At 43.6% G+C, this 23,317-nt stretch overlaps 1 long non-coding RNA gene across 3 annotated transcripts in view; it reads left to right on the top strand.

Annotated features, from left to right (window-relative positions):
* LOC107985855 (uncharacterized) overlaps positions 1 to 23,317 on the top strand; it is a 78,008-nt gene that overhangs the window by 26,440 nt on the left and 28,251 nt on the right. For 2 of the 3 annotated variants that reach the window (XR_001739298.1, XR_001739300.1), the window contains exon 2: positions 10,822 to 10,895. This is a non-coding gene — a long non-coding RNA (uncharacterized LOC107985855). Of the gene's footprint in view, positions 1 to 10,821; positions 10,896 to 22,362; positions 22,489 to 23,317 lie in introns of those variants that run through there. The other variant, XR_001739299.1, reaches the window with a different exon arrangement.

The following is a 23,317-nucleotide window of genomic DNA, read 5'->3' on the forward strand; positions in this document are numbered from 1 at the left end:
ACCATATATACAAGAAGTTTTAAACAAGAACATTATAGATTACTTAAAAGGTGATCGTGCTGTGGAAAAAAAGAAACTAGAGTGGAATAAGGGCAATTGAGAGAGGTGGGGTTTCAGAATGAGTGGGTTAAACTTTTAAACAGGATGGTCAGGGTAGACCTCATTAACAAGGTGATGCTTGAGCAAAGACTTGAAGGAGGTAAATGAGTGAGTCAGGTGGATTCCCATGAGACGTCAAGTTGGAGGGAAGAGCAGGTGCAAAGGCCTTGAGTGGGAGACCATGCTTGGTGGGCTTAAGGAATGGCAAGGAGGCCAGTGGGGTTCGAACTGAGTGACTGTCAGAGACTTTACAGGAGTCAGATCCTAGAGCACCTTGTAGGCTCATACAAGGAGTCAAACAGAAAGTCATTGAAGAAGGTTTGGAGCTGATTACTGACTTGGTTAAATATACTTAAAAATATGTTTTGGCTCCTTTGTTGACAATAGATCATAAAAGAGTAATTGTGGAGACAGAGAAACTATTGCATTCATTCAGGCAAAAAATGATGGTAGTAATGCCAGGGCAGTGGTGGTAGGGGTCATGAGAACTAGTTGGATTTTGGACCTATTTTTAAGATGGAGCCAACGAGATTTTCTGATGAATTAAATGTGTAAATTAAGAAAAAGAGTCAAGGATAATTCCAAGGATTTTAGTTTGAGCACTTGAATCGAGTGGATAAAGTCACCATCAGCTGAATTGAGGAAGGGTGTGGATAGTTCAGAAGTTCTGGTCTCATTAAGTTTGAGATATGTATTAGCCACCCAAATGGAGAAGAATCCATTCAAAATTCATTTTTGTTTTTGGCTTGATGTAAGAACCTGTTTTTCTCCTACAACTGAAACCAGTGATCCTAACATCTGAGAGGTCTATATTTCTACCACTGATTTACAATGCCACAGCTATAATATCCTAAATTCCTGTTGATACTTGAATTTGTTTGTGGACTTTCTTTTTTTCGTCTATCTGCTTTAATTAATTATGCTGCTTTAATCACATTATATTACTTTTTAAAAATTTTAATTTTATTTTATTTTAAGTTATAGGATGCATCTGCAGGACGTGCAGGTTTGTTACACATGTAAACATGTGCTATGGTGGTTTGCTGCACCTATCAACCCATGACTTAGGTATTAATCCTGCATGCATTAGCTATTCATCCTGATGCTCTCCCTCCCTCCGCACCCGCAATAGGTCTCCGTGTGTGTTGTTCCTCTCCCTGTGTCCATGCGTTCTCATTGTTCAGCTCCCACTTATCAGTGAGAACACACGGTGTTTGGTTTTCCGTTCCTGTGTTAGTTTGCTGAGGATAATGACTTCCAGCTCCATCCATGTCCCTACAAAGAACATTTCATCTAAGTTGACATTTTTTGACATAAATTTATTAATAATATTTTCTTCTCATTATTTTATTATATGTAGAGTCTGTGGCATTGTCACCTCTCAGATATTTGTAGTTTGTGTCTTTTTTTTTTCTGATCAGTCTGACTGAAGGTTTATTGATTGTATTGATCTTCTCAAGAATCAGCTTTGGGTTTCATTGAGTTTTTCTGGTTTCTCTGATTTTCAAGTCAATATCTGATTGTTCTAGTACCAAAAGAGATAAAATACATGTAAAACACAATAGTCTCTGGCATATTGGGAGCATTCAATGAATGAGTGCTTTTAATGTTATTTTATAATTGTCATCATCTTTTATGATGCAAATTTCTTCCATGTTCTTCGATAATTTGAATTGCAAACTTGTCTTCTGTGTGAATTTCATTTCTTCTTTTCTCTATGGTTTCTGGCAGTTTTATAGTGCCTTCTCCCTGGTGCAGTAGTTTTCCTTGTTCAGAACTAGGTCATGTATTATTATTAGCGGTTTGAGTTTTCATCTTGTAAAGTTTCTGTAAAGCAATTTTCAGAAACAGGGGAAAGCTAGTCCAATGTACTGGTCAATCAGATATCTCTTTCTTTCCTAGTTTCTTGGCAGCAAGTTAGTATCAGCTGTATCTTTGGGGAGGGTTTGCTGCTCTTTGTGCCTCCTGTTCATAAGTGGTAGATTTCCATTACTGTTCATCATATAAGGAAACTCTCTCTTAACACAACTTCTTGGCAGAGGTTGGGGGGCCGTTATGAGGGTGAGAAGCATTTACTTATATGATGCTATGACTGGCATCTCTAGCAGTTGGGCAGTGCACCACCTGGCCAACCACACATGGTAGTCATGTTTGCTCTGATCTTCCATATCTACTTCTGAACATGTCTAATTCTTGCTTCTTCTGCCTTTTTGGGTTATGGGGTCCTGAAAGATTACATTTCATCTTCCCAGTGATATAGTTCCATCATTTACACCTCATGGAGTTAACAGTGTTATTGTTAAGTATATTGTTAAGGTTCTCTTTTGACATATTTTTAACCAATTATCTATTATGATATGCATCTGGAGTACAAAGGTGGAATAAAGTGGTTTATTTGGGAACTCACAGGACCATCTTGACTGAAAGCCAGCGTTAATTTTCATAGTAAAACTTTTGAAACAACTTAATAGTAAGCATAGAGAAATGGTTAACCACATTCAGTACTTTCATACCATGGAATTTTATGCAGCCTTTTAATGTTTTTGAAATAATTTTAATGACATTTGAAAATTCTAAGGTTATAATGTTAACTGGAAAGATAAGATTTTTAAACTGTACTTGTACTATAATCTCAACTAAGTAAAAATAGGCATATAAACAGGCTGGAAGGAACTAACATAAAATAATACCAACTGTTCTCCGGATGGTGTTACTATGAATGGTCAAATTGCTAAATAAATACTTTCATAAAATTTAAGTTTTTTATAATGAATATACATTATATTGATGAGCAGAAAAATGTGAGTGGTATAATAAAAGCAAAAGTCCACTCACTACTTTGAGCTTACCTTGGAAGAGGCAATTCATCACTTCCGTATGTCTCTTCCTTTCTGTACCAAAATTTAGGGACTCTTGGGCTCAACTGTTGCTGCCAGTTACATAGGACAGCCGTCAGGCTCCTTAAAACCTCCAAGATCATGCTGATAGCCCACAGTGGTCTTCCTCTTTTTAACACTCTCTGTTCAGGTTTGTGCTGCACGATCAGTAGATCGTGTTCTGCCTTGTTTAGGGACCCTGATGGCTACTTATGTCAACTCAACCAGTACATGACAAATAACATGTCATCTAACATTGGCATGTACCATCTAGATCCAGGAGTTACTGCATACAGTAGGTGCTTAATACATCTTTCCTGAAATCATCCTCACCTGTGTAATTACAGCTCTGCCTTTGCCCAGGATGAAGGAAGCATAGAAAATAAAAAGTGGTTGGATAAGGTGGTAGAATTCTGTGTGATTCTGTTTTTTATTTTAAAATTCCTATTTTGGCTGTTATGTTTTTGTGGAATAAAATAAAATTTTCTTGAGTTCTTGAATTCCTTCGATTCCTTCACATCTGGGAGTGTGGTCAAGAGCTTTCGTTCTTGGAGGCCGAGGTTCAAATGCAGGCCCTTTCTGTTCCAGTATGGCTTTCATAAGCCACTTTACCTCTCCAAGTCTCACATCCTCAGCAGCAAAATAATCATATTGGCTTTGAAGCAGTTGATGTGAGGCTCAGTCAGGGTAACGTAAGTGAAGTTCTTTGTGCATAGCAGTTACTAAATGAGAAAGCTCTTCTTCCCCCTGCCTTTTATACAGTAAACCCAGGTGGGTGGACAGAGTAAGTCCACTTTGGATTTCCTTAGGGGGCCCTTTGCTACAGCTAAAGGGCCTCTGACCTCGATTCAAGAGTTTTATTTAAATGAGCAGACAGTCTTTGTGTGAACATTGCCTCTTTTGAGGATATATACCACCCAGAACTCAAGAACTTGGGCTGTGTGTCGCTCTGTTCCAAGAGAACTTCCTTGGGATTATCTGGGCCACCTTTTTAATTTCTCAGACACCTCTGTCACTTCCTTTCATCTCTGGGCCCAGGAGAAGAGAGTTTGATTGGACCTGTCAACATCTGTAAGGAGGCCACTTGAGAGTCATTTGAAGAATTCCCACACCCAAGAGCATCTCAGAGCAGCTGGGAAGACCCAGGCAACCTTCAACCTTAGGCCCATGTCTTGCCTTGGAATGCTAGCTTTTGAATGGTCTGTGTGGGATTGTCAAAGTGACTCCCCAGGTGTGTGTTAGTGGCTTTGCAAGTCATCACAGTAGCAGAGAACACCACACGAACAAATCAGACAGTTCGTTCTTTGCTATGTAAAATATTATCAACCTTAATTATAATACTCATACTTTAGAATATGAATAGAATATGAATGGAGTATGAATACAATAAAATGAAGTATCAAACTCCTATTATGCTCCAGGCACTCGGCTGGGTTTATATCTAACCGTCACCACACTGTGCAAGCCAGGACTTATGGTTTCTATTTATAGATGAAGAAACTGAGGTTCACAAAGTTCAAACCACTTTCCAAAGGTCACTTGATGGATGAAAAAGCCTGGATTAGAATGTAGATATGTATTTTATTTTGAATCCTTTTCTTTTTAAAGAATGACTCTGACTGCTTCTCAAAAAACGTAAAGATAGTTTGATGAGGAAGAAATATGGGCAGTTGCTAATATTAAGAGCCAAGATAGGGGGAAAAAGCCAATTTCCCTGGGCTGATGTTTGAGTTAAAAGGTTCTTGCTAGTATGAGCCACAGTTAAACTGGCACCAATTAGAGTCAAGTGTAATGAAAAATAAATACAGCTGAGCTGTTAGGCGAGCTGCTATGGCCCAGCATCTGTCAGCACTTCTATTATACATTGAGTTTTTTCAAGGAATTATAAGGGCTGTAAAAATGTGTGCTATGGTGGAACTTGGCAGGGAAAAAGTTTCCATTTAAAGAGCTTTTCAAATATATTTTCTAAAGTTTCAAAAAATTAGGTTTGAAACTTTAGTCATGAAGTTAGCAACCATTTACATAGTCCAACACCTTTTAACCGACTGCCGAAGTGACAAGGCACTTCAGCACCAGGACAAATTCCTTCAGCCCCGTTCATGGGCTTCTGCCGTGACCTTTGCTTCCCCACAGTGTTCTTGTTGGTCTCTACTGCAGCCTTAATAGCAATATCAGGTGTCATGTTCCAGGGGAGTAAAGAGTTGGGGAGTGAGAGCCCGGAAGGATCGTGGTTGCCCATGCCAGGGTGACATGACCCCTGTGTGCCGAGATGCTCCTCTGAAAGCCCTTCCAGGCCAGTGCACAGCTCTATTGGCCTCCTTCCAGGCCAGAGGCTGACACTCAACCTAAAGAGGGACTGGGAAAGGGACTGGAGCTGGGGAGGTGTTGGCCAGGGAGGCTTCAGAGGATGTGGGCTACAGAGTCTGGTAACAGAAGGTCTCGATCTGCTTTTAATTAATTAATTAATTAACTCATTATTTGTCTGAGCAGAACTCAAGACTTGGAGACAGAAAACCATGGTGTGACCTACAGCTCTGCTACTATCATATCTTTTGACAATGTGCTCACTGCCTAATCACTTTGGGCTTTTGTTAACTTAATTCTGAAGGAAAATGACCACCTTTATACAAGTTGCAGAATGGTAGGGTATGAGAATAACGAGTGTTGAAGTACTCTGTGAGCTTTAAAGAGGTACACAAATAGAATAAAGGAGAATCATAAGGAAACATGTGTTGACCTTTTCCTAAGGATCCTTTCCTAGTGGCCAGGCAAGGTGAAGGAGAGAAACATGAATAAGACATGCTGTTGACATACAAAAACCCAGAACAGACAAGAGTCAAGCTGGACTAAAGGGCATTTTGACAAATGCCCACATCCAAGAGAAGGAGTAAATCCAGGACTCAGTGGGCCATAAACAAGCCACTCGCTCCAACATTTTACCAGGAAAGTCCCAGGAAAAGAGCTAATATTAAATTCCATCCTGGGATTCTTACTTATCCAGAATTCTATCATTGCACATCAATATCGCCATACCTGGTCTTGGTGTTTCTTGTCATCATTTCACAATGAATACTGGAGTCAACAGGCAAATAACGTTTCTGCATAAGTCAGTTGGGGCCAGGGTACCTAACCATGGAAGTAGTAACTCTCAAACTTGACCTGGTGAAGGAATCCCTGGTGGTGTTTATTAAAATGTAGAGACCCGGACCCTCCCAACAAAGATTCTGACTTTGTAGGCAGCAGCCCCCAGATCTGGATTTCTAGAAACTCTCTAGCTGGAGGTAGGACATATGGCCACACACTGAGAAACACTGAATTTAGACTTCTCTGAGATGGCCGCGTGAGTCTAAATTGTCAGAGCTGGCAATCTCTATACAGCTTCCCCATTTTATTGCTGAGAAAACTCTGCAGAGGGAGGAGGTTGGTATTCACAGAGCATATGAGATGTGTCGAATGCTGTGCTGGCATTCAACTTAGGCCTTCTCATTTCATCTTCACCATGCATCTGGTTCCTTCCACTAAAGGCACTTAGATGTATTCCGCCTTGAGATCGGCACATTAACCTGCCTCTCGGCTCCAACATCTGGGCAGCTGAAGGAATAAAACAATGTATCTACAGCCAGTACACATTTGTGTGCTCTGTGATCAGTGGGACTTTTCATTTTGGGGACTGCTTCCACTCTCTTTCACCCCTTAAGAAGCACATCATTTGCTTCTCTCTTCAAGCTCTTTATCTTCCTCCAGCTCTTCACTCTCAAACAAAATTCCTATTCTTTCTTCATTAAAAACATTGTGTCCTACCATGGTGGCAACACCCATAATCTCAGCACTTTGAGAGGCTGAGGCAGGAGTGGCACTTGAGGCCAGGAGTTTCAGACCAGCCTGAGCAATGTAACAAGACTCTATCTCTACAAAAAATTAAAAACCCAGCCAGGCATGGTGGCGTTCGCCTGTTGTTCCAGCTACTCAGGAGGCTGAGTCAGAGAATCACTTGAGCCCAGGAGATTGAAGCTGCAGTGAGTTATGACCACACCACTGTGCTACAGCCTGGGTAGCAGAGTGAGACTCTAAAAAAAAAAGAGGCCCGGTGTGGTGACTCATGCCTGTAATCCCAGCACTTTGGGAGACCAAGGTGGGTGGATCACTTGAGGTCAGGAGTTTGAGACCGTCCTGGCCAAAATGGCGAAATCCCGTCTCTACTAAACATACAAAAAATTAGCGAGACGTGGTGGGCGCCTGTAATCCCAGCTGCTCGGGAGGCTGAGGCAGGAGAATCGCTTGAACCCAGGAGGCGGAGCTTGCAGTGAGCCGAAATTGTGCCACTGCACTCCGGCCTGGGCAACAAGAGCAAAACTCCATCTAAAAAAAAAGAAAGAAAATTCCAACATCTCGCTGGACTTCGCATCTATCAGTCATGAGTTAACTTAATACATTCACCCCTCTTCAATTCCTTTTCTCTAGTCTCTGGGAATGAGGACCCTTTCCTCCTGCTTGAGGACATCTCTTCTCACGTCCTTGACCTGAGTTTCCTCACCATATCAGGTGCATTAATTTCTCACCACAACTACTCCTTCCTGTGTCTTAAATCCCCTTTCTGTTGCTTTCTTCTCAGACCAGAAATCTGTTGAAGCCTCTTCTACACTAAAGCACAGTCTCTTCCCACACTTTATTTCCTTCTAGTCATGCTATGATCTCACTTCTTTCCTTGTCACCCAAACTTCTTGAGTGTTATTGTCTCTCTCCACTCTTAACTCCCATTTGCTGCTCGACCCATTTCAATCTGTCTCCCAGTCACACTCCTTTAATAAGATTCGATTTGCTAAGGTTACCTTACTGCTGCCCAAATTCAGTGGATATTTTTCAGTCCTTCTTCAGTAAGATAGGGATATTAATGCTTAGCTCTTAGTGCCTATTAGGTTGTTTTAAGAATCAGTGCTAAATGTATGGAACTGCTGGGTACACAGACCTATCACAGAATAACAGTTCAGCAAATGATTCCCTTTTCCTTCCTCCTCCTCTTCCTCCTCATTATTGTAATTGTTGCTATCATTATTTCAGGGACTTCAGGTGAATTTGACACCACTGACCATTCCCATCTTTTAGATTTCATGACATCTATCATCTTAGTGCTCTCATCCTCTGACGATTCCCCCAATCTCTATAGGCCTGCCTTCTTTCTCCCAAGATCGGTATTCCCTGGGAGTCTCTCTCTGGTCCTTCCTTCATCTTACTCTTCCTGCTGTCCCTGGTTGAGCTCCTGCTTGCAGTTGCTAGTTACAAGCCAATAAATTCTGTTTCCCCCGCACTTAGACATGCCCCTGAGCCATGTGTCCAGCCTGCTGGACATTTCTTCCTATTCTGCAAGACCTGGCACATAAGAGTTGCTCAAGAACAGTCTGGCCTCTTTAGGGCCCCAGCCAATTTCTATACAATATAGTGAAGCTTGGGCACAGCAGCCTTGACTCTACCCAGAACAGCCTAGTGTGTGTGTATGTGTGTGTGTGTGTGCATATGTGTGTGTGCGTATGTGTACGTTTGTGCATGTGTTTGTGGCAGCTCTAGGCTCCACTGTTCTCCATTAGAGATGGAGCACATTTGATAATATGGAGCTATGGTCACAACTGCCAGGTGGCATGTAGCTACTACCTAGAGAGAAGGATGAAGGAGAGGTTCGCTGAAGAGCTGGAGCCAGTGGCAGGCAGAAGTAATTAAGGCAGCTTTCACAATGCTATGGAAGGCCTTGGGCTGTATCTGGCAGAAATCATGGCAGAGACAAAATGGAATCCTAAAGTTTCAGAGATTAAAGTGAAAGTTTGTTTCCAAGTTCAAATACTAATTTCTTATATGTTTAGCTTTTAACTTTCCATAAGTGTGGGCAGAATTGTTGGCATATGAAAATGCCACATCCCTGAACCTGACATAGGACAAAAGGAGAAGTGTTTGGTTTTGGATTTAGACAAAGCTTGGCTCCTCTGATAACTGTATGACTTTCGTCAACCTATTTCACTTTTCTGAGCCTCAGTCATCTGTATCAGGAGGGTGACAACATCCTGGTTCTCTCATTCACTCAACATTTATTGAGAGCTTTGTTAGTCCCTGGCAAGAAGCTGGGTGCTGAACTGCTGAGATAACTCAGATATGTCCTTGCCCTCGAGGACTGTAGAGAATAGAAGAGGAAACGGGCACACATGCAAGGAACAGGTGTCAGCTTAGTCTGAGGAGTGTGGAAAAGCAAGAAATAAAAAACCATGCCCAGGTTTCTGGCTTTAGAAATCAGGAAGAGGATGGGATCGACTCAACCATGGAGAGGAGGAACCCAGGAGAAGGGCCAGGTTTAGGGTGGGAAGAAGATAAAGTTCAGTTTTGACCATACAAGGTGTGAGATGCTTGCAGGGTGTCCACGTAGAGACGCTCGCCAGGAGAGAAATGCATCTGTCTGGACGTCAGGAGAATCTCTGGAGTTGGAAACACCTATTTGGAGTCCTCAGCACAAACCCATTCTGTGAGCTCCAGAGCAGATGAAAATGCTCTGAAAGTGTATACTAAAAAGACAGCCACCTTGACAAGGGCAAGGAAGGAGAAGGCTGAGAAGGGCTCCTTGCATAGGTAGGAGGAAGAACTGAAGAGCATGGGAATATAGAAACCCGGAGCAGGAAGAGGGTCAGTAGTTTTGAACACTGCAGAATTCAAGGAAGAAGAAGACGACAGAAACACCTCCGATGGCTTAGCAACAGAGAGGTTCTTGAAAGCAATTTCAAGGAAATAATAAGGCTAGAAGGTCTGGCTTAGACAGGAGAACTCCTGACTCTTCTAGTAAAACTTGAGGAAGACTGGAAAGAACAGGATGTAGGTAAGTTTGTGGAGGATTCGGCAAGATGTTGTTGGATTTTCTTTCTAGGAATCTTTCCTTCCTTCCTTCCTTCTTTCCTTCCTTCCTTCCTCCCTTCCTTCCTTCCTTTCTTCCTTCCCTCCTTCCTTCCTTCCTTTCTTCCTTCCTTCCTTCTTTCCATAGGTTTTTGGGGGAACAGGCAATATTTGGTTACATGAGTAAGTTCTTTAGTGGTGATTTGTGAGATATTGGTGTACCCATCACCCCAGCTGTATACACTGAACCCAATTTGTAGCCTTTTATCCCTCATCCTCCTCCCACCTTTTCCTCCTGAGTCACCAAAGTCCACTGTATCATTCTTATGCCTTTGCATCCTCACAGTTTAGCTCCTACTTATGAGTGAGAACATACGATGTTTGATTTTCCATTGCTGAGTTACTTCACTTAGAATAATCGTCTCCAGTCCCATCCAGGTTTCTGTGAATGCCATCAATTCATTCCTTTTTATGGCTGAGTAGTATTCCACTGTATATGTATACTACGGTTTCTTTATCCACTTGTTGATTGATGGGCATTTGGGCTGGTTCCACATTTTTGCAATTTGTGAATTGTGCTGCTATAAACATGCATATGCAAGTATCTTTTTTGTATAATGACTTATTTTCCTCTGGGTGGATACCCAGTAGCGGGATTGCTGGATCAAATGGTCGTTCTACTTTCAGTTCTTTAAGGAATCTCCACACTGTTTTCCATAGTGGTTGTACTACTTTACATTCCCGTCTTTCTTGTGGTTTCTAATTTGTGTGTGACACCATGACTGACACTTGCTCTTAGTCAGGGCCAGCTCGTGAGGTGGGAGGTCTGAGAGAGAGAGGGTCATTTGATATGGACTGAGGAGGATGGGCATGGGCCAGGCGTGGGAGGCATGGAAAAGTTTCAGGCAACATCACAGACCCAGATGGGGAGAGACTATCAGTTTGTACCAATGGCAACCTGTGTCCCTGTGATTTTCTGCAGGAATGCACCACACTCTCGATGTGCGTACAGAGAAGATGGCTGGCTGGCTGGATCCAGGGTTTTAATGTTTCCAGGTAAGTTTAAAGAAAAGAACAACTGACCTCCTGACAAGCTGATGGACAAGGGGAAAGCAGAGGGACTAAGAGATAAGCGGTCTCTCTGAAGTCAAATTAGCGGAACGCTGAGGTAGCAGGATGAACTGAGAAAAAGCTGGATGGGTTTGAGAGCTGTGATCAGAGACAGACAGATCTGCACTCAGGGTTTCAGGGCTGGGAAAGCTCCAGGGAATGCAAGTTCCAAGGTGAAGTCATGGGAATGGGTGGCTGAAATGGGATGGAAGGAAAGGTGACAGGAACTAGGTTGATGCCACTCAGGGAAAGGGTGGTGAGAAATCCCGAGATCTGGGAGTCAAGCTCCTTAGCCGGAGGACACTGTTCAGAAAGCTGTGCAGCTGGCTCGGGAAAGCGGACATCTATCCCTCCAGTGTGGGGAAGCAGGGGAGTGTACATGTGCATGCCAGGGATTCGGCCTCTGGGCTTTGGTAATTTGGCAATATGCCACTCCCATCAAGCCTCTGCAGTGCTCTGTTGAGCCAGATTCTTCCCAGAGTCCCTGATTCCTGATGCTGAGCCTACCCCATCACCTGCTCTCCAGAGCCAGCCCTTGAAGGCAGCAATTCATCCTCCAGTGGAGCCCTCAGCAGTGACTGGGGAGCCCTAGCCCCTGGGTCAGCCAGGACAGAGCAGCTGCCATCGTTGGCTGAAGGCTACTTCTTGGCATTCGACGGCAGGTTTTGTTTAGACACAGGAGGCACATTGAGAAATGCTTCCAGACTTGTGCCTGGGGACATGGGGGAAGCAGAAGAGCACATGGAGCATTTTAAAGCCTTCAAAAGGAGTTTTGGTGCCTGGCCCCGCCCTAAACGTTTGCACCCAGATATGGTGTTTCCGCGTGCGGGTCTCATACCTGTGCCTGACAAGTGGGAGGCCGCTGACAAGCAGCCTCAGTGGCTCACAAATGGAGTTTGGTTTAAAGTTCAAGTCATAACTGGATGGTGCCTATTTGTCCCTGACCAAACTCAGCACAAAAAAAGGTTGCACTTTTTTTTTTCCTAAAAGGCAGCAAATGTGGACAAATATTAGCTCTTGGAAATAAAGGGGGAAGTTATTCATTCACTCAGCAGCATTTTCCAAGCCATCAATCTTCTGAGGATTTCTATTGCTTTAATCATCAAGGTTGTTTATTTGGAGCAATTTCTGAGAGAATAAAAGTACCTTTGGCCTTTATCTGCTGTCATCAAAGCATCCATTAGGGGACTGGAGCCCTGTAGGGAGGCTCAAGGGATTATTCCGAGAGGTTTTCTGAAACGCACAGGAATTCTGCTTTTTCTTCTCCCTGGTGCGGCAGTGAAGTTTAAACTGTAATCTGAAAGGTTGAGTTTATCGTCAGGTTTGTACCATTTGAACAGGATTTTGTTCAAGGCAAACCTACCCATAAAAGTATTTTAAGTGACCTGGAAAAAAGGCCGGCCTGCCTATCTGGAAATTGTGTGGCCTCTGACAGTCTCCGAGCCTTGGGGTTCTGACAATAGCACGATGGAGTCCCTGGCAGCCTGTACAGTAACAGGATGTCATCTTCTTGGGGAGGGTTGGGGGCAGAAGCAGGAAAGAAGCTGAGTGGTCCCTGCCCTGCCAGAAGGTGAAGCATTACGCTGCTTGGTGAACTTGAAGTGGGAGGAGAAAGAATTGAAATTATGTGGAGCCTGTGGGTAAATGCATCTGGGTGTACACACATATGCACAGACACTGCACACAGGTACACACAGCACACATGCATATACACACACACACACTCACACTCACTGCCCCGTGCCTCACAGGCGCCTCTGCCTCAGGTGCCTCCCAGCTCCAGTTCTGCCAGAATGCCACCTCCCTTCCACTGCCTCCCAGGCCCTTTGCACTCCTCTGCCTTCCAGGGCACGTCTTCAGGCCTCCTGGACCAGCCCCTGCCTGTCGGATGTGGACCCCTCAGAGGGACTACAGGACCCCCTGACTGTGAGTGCCCTTGCCCCTCTCTGGGTTCTGGGAAGCAAGGGCTGGGAACACTCTGCTCACTGGAAAACACATGAGCAGCTGCTCCATGGCTCAGCCTGAGTAAGCAAGAACGGCTGGTGTGGCCGCCTCCCCAGGCTTCTCTCTGTGTCCTGCTGTGTCAGCTGTGTCCCCACGCTCCGGAGAAGCCAGCTCAGCAGTCATCATAGCGGAGCATATGCCCCCCGCCCCCCGCCCCCACACAGCATAGAGATACACACACACCATAGAGACACACACACACCTCACACACTATAGAGACACACACACAGCATAGAGATACACACACACCACAGAGACACACACACACACACCATAGAGACACACACTTCACATCACTTAAAGACACACGTGCATTACACACACAGCATAGAGATACACACACAGCACAGAGACACACACACACCACACACACATACCACACACACCACACACACCACACACACATACCACGCACACCCCAGAGACACACGCACCTCACATACGACAGAGACAAACACACCTCATACACCACAGAGGAAAACACACACCACACACCACAGAGACACACACATACCACACACACCTCACACACCAGAGACACACACACCTCACACACCATAGAGACAGACACATACCACACACACCTCACACACCATAGAGATCCTCACACACCTCACACAGCATAGAGACACACACACACCACACACACCTCACACACCATAGAGACACACACACACCACACAAACCTCACACACCATAGATATCCTCACACACCTCACACACCATAGAGACACACACACACACCACACACCTTACACACCACAGAGTCACACACACCTCACACACCATAGACACACACACACACCGCACACACCTCACACACCATAGAGATCCTCACACACCACAGAGATTCTCACACACCATAGAGACACACACACACCACACACACCTCACACACCATAGAGACACACACACCATAGAGACACACACACCACACACGCCTCACACACCATAGAGACACACACACGCCACACACACCACAGACACACACACACCACACACACCTCACACACCATAGAGACACACACACACCACACACACCTCATACACCACAGAGACACACACACCTCACACACTATAGAGACACACACACCTCACACACCATAGAGACACACACACACACCACACACACCTCACACACCATAGAGATCCTCACACACCATAGAGACACACATATACCACACAGGCCACAGAGACACACACCTCACACATGACAGAGACACACATATACACCTTAGAGATACACACATATTCCAGAGACCCCTCTGTAACTATACATATCTCTATATGAATCTAGATAAATACAGATATAGATATACACACCACACACACACACACACACACACACAGGGACATCTACACAGAGACACCATGCCACAAGCACCATAGAGATATGCACACACACACATCATGACACGAATACCCTAGAGCTAGACACACACCATGACACACACACCTCTTAGTGACACATACATAGGAATGTCTGCATACACATAGATCTCAGACATCTGCATATCTCTATCTATTTCTCCATCTCTACACACACTGCAGAGACACACACAAGTACCCCACAGGGACATCTGCACACACACAAACCACACCACACACATATCACAGAACTACATGCACAGAGACACCTGCACATACTACACACACACATACACGCCATGGGAACATCACACACACACGCACGCCACAGGGACATCTACATACATACATACCCTACAGACAGATGTACACACACACACCCCATGGAGATATCTACACACACACACTCATCTGTTACAAAGGGAAGAAACATTCCAACCTTTGTGCGCAAAAACATGGCCACACAGGCAGGCAAACAACCATGAGATGGACACGTCATGTGCACGTACTGCACACACCCAAGTGTGGACGCCCCTCTGAAGCCTCCAAGCTGGCTTATCAGAGGCATCCCTGGACTGGGCCAGACCTGGAAAAGAGAAGGGGCAGTGCAGGAGAAAAGGCAGTCGGTGTTTGCACTGGAGCTTCCCAGACCCTGGAGCCCGCAAAACTCGAGATCAGAGCAGAGGGAAAATCCCTCCTGTGATGGGCGTTGAGACCAAGAGAGTGGGGAAGGGCCAAGCATGGTAGGAAGGGTGGCCTTTACTGCAGGCCCCATCGTTGACTTGCTCTGTGGCCTTGAGCAAGAGTCTCCGTGATCTGGGCCTCAGGTTCCCCATCTGTAAAATGGAGTTAATGCAAAAAGCAAATGACAGGAAACACGTAGAGGTGCGGGAAAAGATCAAAGCTGAGAGATTATTGCTATCTGTGTGGGTATTTTATTTATTTATTTTTTACTGGTAATAAAAAAAATCCCTTCTTGAAGATCTGCAATCATCAGAAAAGGAGGTACTAGATCATGTGCTACCAAGGATTATTAAGGGATGCAGGAGGCGTCTTCCCAACGCTAAGGTCTAGATCAAAATCAACCACATGCTTTTGTTTCTTTTCTTTTCCTTCTCTTTTTTTTTTTTGTGGTTATTTTCATGGCCGCTTCGCAGAGGAGCTGGGTTGCTGGGATGAGCACCAGGGCTCCTGAACACTGAGTCCAAGGCTCTGCCCTTCTCTGTTTTCCACAATGCCACAACTTTTTTAGACAGTGTTTTCAGGATAATCTATTTTTATTTTCCAGATTCTTGGGGGTGTCCCTAAGTAGAGTCAGATGAAGATGGGAGAAAGAGGGAATGCAGCTAGAAGGAGGTTTGGTGGTAGTGCCTGGCCGGCCTGTAGAGGCCAGCAGCCAAGTGACCATGGTGCTGGCAGCCAGCGAGGCACCCGGCCACCCTGCTGAGCCTCCATTCCCCTACTCCCTGGGGCTGCAGTGTGGCCATGAGCTGACCCTTCCCATACTGTGAAAGGTCTATGCCTAGCCTGTGATCCTGGTATTTTTGAAGTAGCTAGTTTAAACTTAAACTAAACTAATTTGTCCAGAAACTCTAGTGGAGCTTTCCAGACCCAAATTCATCACCTTCTATTGTGTGAAGGTTTATCTGAACCCCTTGGTGTCCCAATGCCCCTGCTATACCACTATGCCACGGGGATCCCACTGCCATAGAGCAGATACCAATTGATATGATATAGATTAGTGAGTGTGTTTTCTCCACTAGACTCTGAGCACTTTAATTTCCAACTCTTAGCACAGTACGTGGCTCAGAGTATGTGTATAGTAAAGGTTTGCTGAATCATTGAACTAAGTTGCATTTTCTGGTTCTGTCTCTGGCTGGAAATTCTGTGGGCAAAGGAAGTGCCACAAGAAAGCTAGAGTTGATGCCACATGTCACAGGAGAGATGTACAAGGAAAGCCTTATGAAGTTCCATGGAAGCGAGGTCACATCCACTCCAGGGCATAAAAAAGGCTTCTGAGAGAAGCTGGCCTTGGGATGGATTGTACAGAATACACGGGTATCTTGCTTTCTATCTGCTACCCTGGGAGGCTGGGGCTCCTCTGACTTTGACCTTCAGGCCTAATCATTGCTTTGTGAGACATTATGGAGAGTGGTCTCATACATTTGCTTGGACTCGCTCTGTTTTCTCTTGGCAAACAGGTCTAGCTCAAGGTGGACTCAACGCTTCTTGTGGACAATTGTATCCCTAATTTGAGTGGTTCACTGCCTTTTGGAAACCCACACTTCACTCTGCAGGCAGCACTCTTCCATCTCCTATCACACTGTATTAGTGACCACGTGTTTATGTGTCTGTTTCTCCCTCCAGATAGACACCTGTGAGCTCCTTGTAGCCATCCATCCAGTCATCTTTATCACTTTTCATGTTTGGCATACAGGAGGCAGTTTGTCTCTAGAAAGTACTTCTTGAAGGGTTGAAGGACAGAACCAGATGTGGTGAAGCTATCTGGAGGCTGGTGGCTCAGGGATCCCTGGATGGACGGTGACTAGTTTCAGACTCTAATCCCCCACTTCCCAGTGGTTTTCTGCACAGAGGATGAGGCTTTGAAGTTGAAGTTGGCTGGGGAAGCAAAATTTAGAAAGCTGCATTTTATACCCAGATGTACCTGCCATTAGTGACATAGAAGTTTTGCTTTTCATATTTTGGTGAGAGTTGAAAGCAGATATTTGAAAATAGAGCTCTGTCTCACAATAAAATATGATCACTTGGAAAATGTATTCTGAGTTTTTTGTCATTTAAGTTAAAGAGCATCTTCCTAAACAGAAACATATTCCTAGTGTAAGAATTTTCAGTTATTGCTTTTTATTTTCTTTCTAACTCATTCTTATGCCTTCCTAGAAATATGGGATTACTCATTAAATGACCCCAGTCAGCATTTTTTGAGCACAGTGTCTACATTTGTCTTGAGCTCTTAACAAATCAAGTCTAATTCAGGAAAAATAGTAGCATTTCTGCCTCATTTATGACTGTTTCCTTTGTCTGAAAAATGACCACAGGGACTAGATGTTCACAGGCGCAGGGAGTAGTGGCCAGTCTTTTGCTCAATCTGTTTATAATGGGGTGATGTGGTGGGTGGTGCAGCGTAGAAGGAAGAACAAGTTCTCTGGTGTTCAACAGAGCTTGGTTCAACTCTTGGTTGCATATTGGAGTAGAAGTGTGGTTCTCTGAACTTCTCTGAAGCTATTTCATAACCTTTAAACTGGAATTTCTCATATATAAATGGTTATGATGCTGGCGAGGTTTAAAGATATGATGTTTATAATGTACCTAGCATTGTATGGCATATAGTAAATATTGCATAGTAGCTTCTCTTATCATTATCATCATTTTATTAACAATAATAATAATTATTGAGTGAACAGTAAATATTATAAGTTCATAATATTTGGTTCCTACAACTTACAAAAAATCAGTATAAAGAGGCAGGAGCTATTTCACTCATTTCATCTCAATTATAGTCACCATGGAGTTTCATTGATTCTTAAAAGAATTTTAAAATCACATTACAATAGTCAATTCTATCATTCTTTAAATAAATATACAGATTAGATCAAGAGTTCAAAGTTTAGACCAGATGTAATTTTTTAGATTCTAATTAAACATGAGGTCTGTATTTATGTATGGAGATGTGGGTGTTTATATGTGCAGCACATAATATATACATATATTTTTGAATATATATAAGAGAACAATTTATGGCCTCATAAGCATACTAGAAACTATACATTTGGGGCTGGGTGCGGTGGCTCATGCCTGTAATCCCAGCACTTTGAGAGGCCAAGGCGGGTGGATCACGAGTCAAGAGTTCGAGATCAGCCTGGCCAACATGGTGAAACCCAGTCTCTAATAAGAATACAAAAATTGACTGGGTGTGGTGGCACATACCTGTAATCCCAGCTACTTGGGAGGCTGAGGCAGGAGAATCACTTGAACCCGGGAGGCTGAGGTTGCAGTGAGCCAACATCACGCCACCGCACTCCAGCCTGGGCAACAGTGCGAGACTCCTTCTCGGAAAAAAAAAAAAAAAAGAAGAAGAAGAAACTATACATATTAAAATATACCTATGCAGTGGTTCAAGATGTACTCATTTACTTTGTAAGCCAATTTACTATCTGATGCCAATCAGACTTAATATAATATAAAATATTCTATAGAGACATTAATAAATTTGCACACAATAAACATATATATGTGATTATAAACATATTAATATGTGTTTTTTCAAATGTGAAATTATTTTCAGATGCCCATGTCTTAGGAGAACCCACTGTGGGAAATATAAACACTTGTGCCTGACATGCAGCCCCAAACACGAGCTTGACTGAAGGCTCTAGAGGGCCGGACACCTCAACTGTGTCACACTTAATTGATCCCAAGCAGCCCATGGTTTGTCAGAACAAGATTAAGGCCTATAACCCTGAGGGGGAGGATGACTTGAGCCCATTGGACAACTCTGTCCAAGAAGCTGTCACCCTGCTTAGCGTGGCTGGGAAGTGGCTTCATTTATCAACCTAAAATCTCTTTCTGTAATTCTTGGCCATTTCCTTTTTTTCTCTTCTCGGGGAGACTGGAAGAGTAGGTTGTGACCTTTCTTATACTTAGGCTCTGCCCAGAAGGAGCCATAAAGATAACCACCAGCTCTTCAAAGGCGTCAGATCCCTGGCAACCGCACAGGGGATTTTCCCAGCACTTGAGCAAAGGGGCCTGGGGATACTGGTGGTTTACTCCACTGGGGCCACTGCCAGGGCTGCATGTGGTGAGCCACGGCCGGTGCACTGCTTCTGGGGACAACACTGCCCTTCAGCATGACACTCTACTGGGGGCCACACAAGGGGCCACAGGGAGGACACAAGTTGACAGTGTTTCTTTTGGGGAAGCAGCTCACACTAAAGAAACCTGTTTCAGGTGGCTTTGGAAAGTTTTCCAAAGTTCACTTTTGATTTGCAGTGACAGGGGGTGGCGTGCAGGGCGGAATCTAAATATCTCTGAGAACACACTTTGAAGAAATTTCAGCTTGTAGGTACTTAAAATAACATACTACAGAGTTTATATAGATATATAAATATACTTATTATATATGTTTATATATGTGTTTATATATAACAGTTTGTATATAAACTATTATATATATGTTTATACATATATGTGTGTGTATATTTATGTATGTGTGTGTGTTTACCTACGTTACACATATATAATATATACACACATACACATACATATATATGAGTGTGTACATACGTAACCTACATAAAATACAGAGTTTATGCCTTGACTACCTTTTTGTATTTGTGACCTAATTGAATCCTTGCAAAAACCCTGATACAGATATCAAATCCATTTTACAGATGTGGGAACTGAGGATGAGAGCTTAACTAGTTTTTCAAGTGAAAAGCTGGGCTTCAAACCTGAGCCTTCTAATCTCCGTGTTCTGATCCCCATGGTAGCCAGTGAAAATATAACTTTAGTTATGGAGAGATTGAGTTTGAAATTATGGACCACAGCCACATTGCTGCTAATGCTGTTTTGAGTTAGTTGCTTTTCATTGACGATACATCAAAATATGAAAATGCAAATTAGCCAGGTGCCGTGACGGGTGCCTGTAGTCCCAGCTACTCGGGAGGCTGAGGCAGGAGAATGGTGTGAACCCGGGAGGCGGAGCTTGCGGTGAGTGGAGATTGTGCCACTGCACTCCAGCCTGGGCGACAGAGCGAGACTCCGTCTCAAAAAAAAAAAAAGAAAATGCAGGTGCTTTGTGTGGACAGAGGAAGACTTTGAGAAGGGTATCACTGTCTCTAAAAGCTGCCTAAACTTGCTTGCTGATAAGTAGAGCTTTTTATACTCCAGTAGTTATTACAATCATAATAATATAATTATTTATTGAAAAAATATTTATTGTGTACCTGCTATGTGCAGGCACAGGGAACAGAGAGTGAAGTAATTTGCAAATGTCCATGTCTTCATGTAGCTTAAATGAAGTGATAAGTGATTAATTGTCAATGATCCTGTTTCCCTGAGAAGGATGTTTTGTTGCAGGTAGAGAGAACGTGGCTTGGTTCACTGGGACGTGGACCAGGGACACGTGTTTCCTCTCCCATCCAGGTGAAGAGCAGTGTAGCTGGTCTCAGGGATGTCTGGAGTGAGCCATCCAGACACTGCAGGCTAGACCGTGCTTTCTTCTCCTCTTCTTGGCCTCTCTTGGTGAACGTGATCCAGCTGCTCAAATTGTCCTTCTTCATTTTGCTTACTGCTCCCCCTAGGCCCAACAGATCTCAATGTCATTGTCAGACAGGGACTGCATCTGTCTCTCTCTGGTCCCAGTTTAAATAAGTTGGGGAAGGGCACTGATGGACCCAGATGGGCTGTGTGTTCTTTTCTGGGTCTGCCACAGATGTGCAGCAAGGCTGAATCTGTGAGAAGCCAGAACTGTCCTGGGAGTATCTGCACCATGCAGTCAGAAGGAGACAGTGGCGTTTCCCTGACGGAGGGGGGCATGATGGGTAAACCACATGCATCTACTACACAAGGTCATTCCTTTAATACTTTATCACATGCAATGGGCTTTTATAGATGTCACTCTACAACAACTAACTCCACCAGCTCTGCAGGACAGAAATTATGATCCTCACTTGACAGTTGGGGAAACTGATGTCACAGAGGTAACACTGGCCAGAAGCCACACAGCTAGTCAATAGCAGAGGCAGGATTTAGATGCTGATTTTCCAGATTCAAATTCATATTTTGGAAGAGACTGAAAGGGCTTCTGAATTTCCAGAGACAGAGTCAATCTATCTTTGTGTAATCTTTGTGCTCCATGTTTTCTTGCACATGGATGCCTTGAACTCTGGTAATTCCAGTATGGCTCTTTGTTAAAAACTTGTTGTATCAATGAGAAACATGGCTCCCTGGTCAAGCTAGAAAGTTGGTATTTTGTAAGTGTAAGGTAATTTTAGGTGGTATGGGGTAAAAGCATTAACTGGATTTTTCTAAGCTATCCACTTTATCACTGTGGGAAATTCTTCACCATCCATCATGGCAGCACATCAAAGCTTTTTGTTTGTTTTCTTACTGACTCTCTTTCTAAAGCAAGGGTAGAATTAGGATTCCAGTAACATTTATTTCCTCATCCATCTGCTCATCTATCCACTCATCCATCCAGGCCTTCCTCCACTGACACGTCCATCCATTATGCCATCTACTCATTCAAAGTCTATTTACCACGTGCTTTATGCCAGGCACCGAGCTAACAATTGAATGAAACAGAGACAATAGAACACAAACTCTTTCTTCACTGGGCCCTCCGTCAAGGTTGGGAGGCATGCACTTATTAACAAATAACTCTAATGCCAAACGCAGCTCCACTGAGGACATCTAGAATTCTTAGAGTCATTAAATAAATATTCAATGCATAGGAGGTGGCAGAGTGTTTCCAGACCAAGACCTGTCACCTGATTATGATTTGATGTGGCATTAATACATTTAAAGAAATGGTACCAATAGGAAGATCATGGACATAGAAAATCAGGATTAAGATAAACAAATGTCAGAATCCATCTCACAGTGTCCAAGTGATGGGCACCTAACCCCTCAGCCATTAGGTTATTGTGGAGGTTGCCCTTTTGAGGACTAGCATGTCTGACTTCCTGAGTCCACGTGTAATGTCCTCCCCCAATCCTTCTACTTCTCTTCTTTCAAATATAGGATCATCAAACAACATGTGTGGAAATAATTTTAATTCTAAGGTACCAGGATGTCAGGATGAGGCAGAGTATATAGTATCTTCAACAGGGTGTTCAAGTAATTTAGTGTCCACACATAGGTATCCTCACTTATCGATGACTGGATTTGCATTCTGATTATTTATAACTTGTTGCACTTTTAGTTAATTTGATCCTGCCACTGAGATTCTTCTGGGAATCTCAACAGATCAGGGTCAAAACTCTGAAGCAGACAATCTTCCATCATGGTATTGTTCTTACAGAGCCCTGCCTGGAACCAGTTGGCTTATCTAGAAAGCATCTGAGTCTCATTCTCATCTTCATCTCCTCCCCATCCACCTTCTCTTTCCACCCCATAACAATATGGGGGATGCGAGGATGAATGGAACATCCGAACAAGTGAAGAAGGAGGCACAATCTCTCAATCAGAGGAACTACAAATGGGAAGTAGAATTTGAGCTGAGCCTTAAAAAGGCGAGAATGATTTGGATAGGTAGGGAATGTAGGCAACTGCCTTCCAGCCTGGGAGAAGCACATGAACAACTACATAGAGGTCATGGGCAAAGAGTATTCAAAGAAAGGTACATGGGGATGTGGTAGAAGCTCAGAAAGTTAGCCCATGAGGATGGAGATGTTGACTGGCTTGATATTGTAGAGATATGCAATGCCTTATAAGGAACTTGGCTTTTCTCCTAGGAAAATAAAGGTGTTAAGCTGAGAGAATGGTGTGATCAGATTTATGTTTTTGCATTTTTTCCCCAGAAGCAGTTGGAGGGATGGACCGGGGATTGAGGTAGACAGTACAGTTAGGGGACAGCTGTATCGGTTCAGGATAATCTGTTTCCCATCTCTGAGGCAGAATTACAGTTTCTAGGACTCTGTGATGCCTTTTACACATGAGGTCAGAATTTCTTCTGAATCGTTAAGAGTGTCTGCACTCATAAACTACTTTGTGTGTTTTAATTTATTTCCAATCAAACTGAAAATGCCAGTAAGCTGTTTCACATGTATCACCAAACTTATGAGAAATTAAACTCAGCTCACAATATTTACTGAGCACTGATTGTGCACACAGCATGCTGTGAGACTCTACCTGGAAGACAAAGAAAAGGCATAAGATGTGGATTTGTTCCCCTTTGGCTTATTTCCCATCTCATGGGTGGGCAAAATCTATGGCTGATCCTAGTCCCAGGAGACTCATCTTTCCTGCTGGGCTCT

Source organism: Homo sapiens, chromosome 2 (assembly GCF_000001405.40).
Source record: "Homo sapiens chromosome 2, GRCh38.p14 Primary Assembly".
Lineage (NCBI taxonomy): Eukaryota > Metazoa > Chordata > Mammalia > Primates > Hominidae > Homo > Homo sapiens.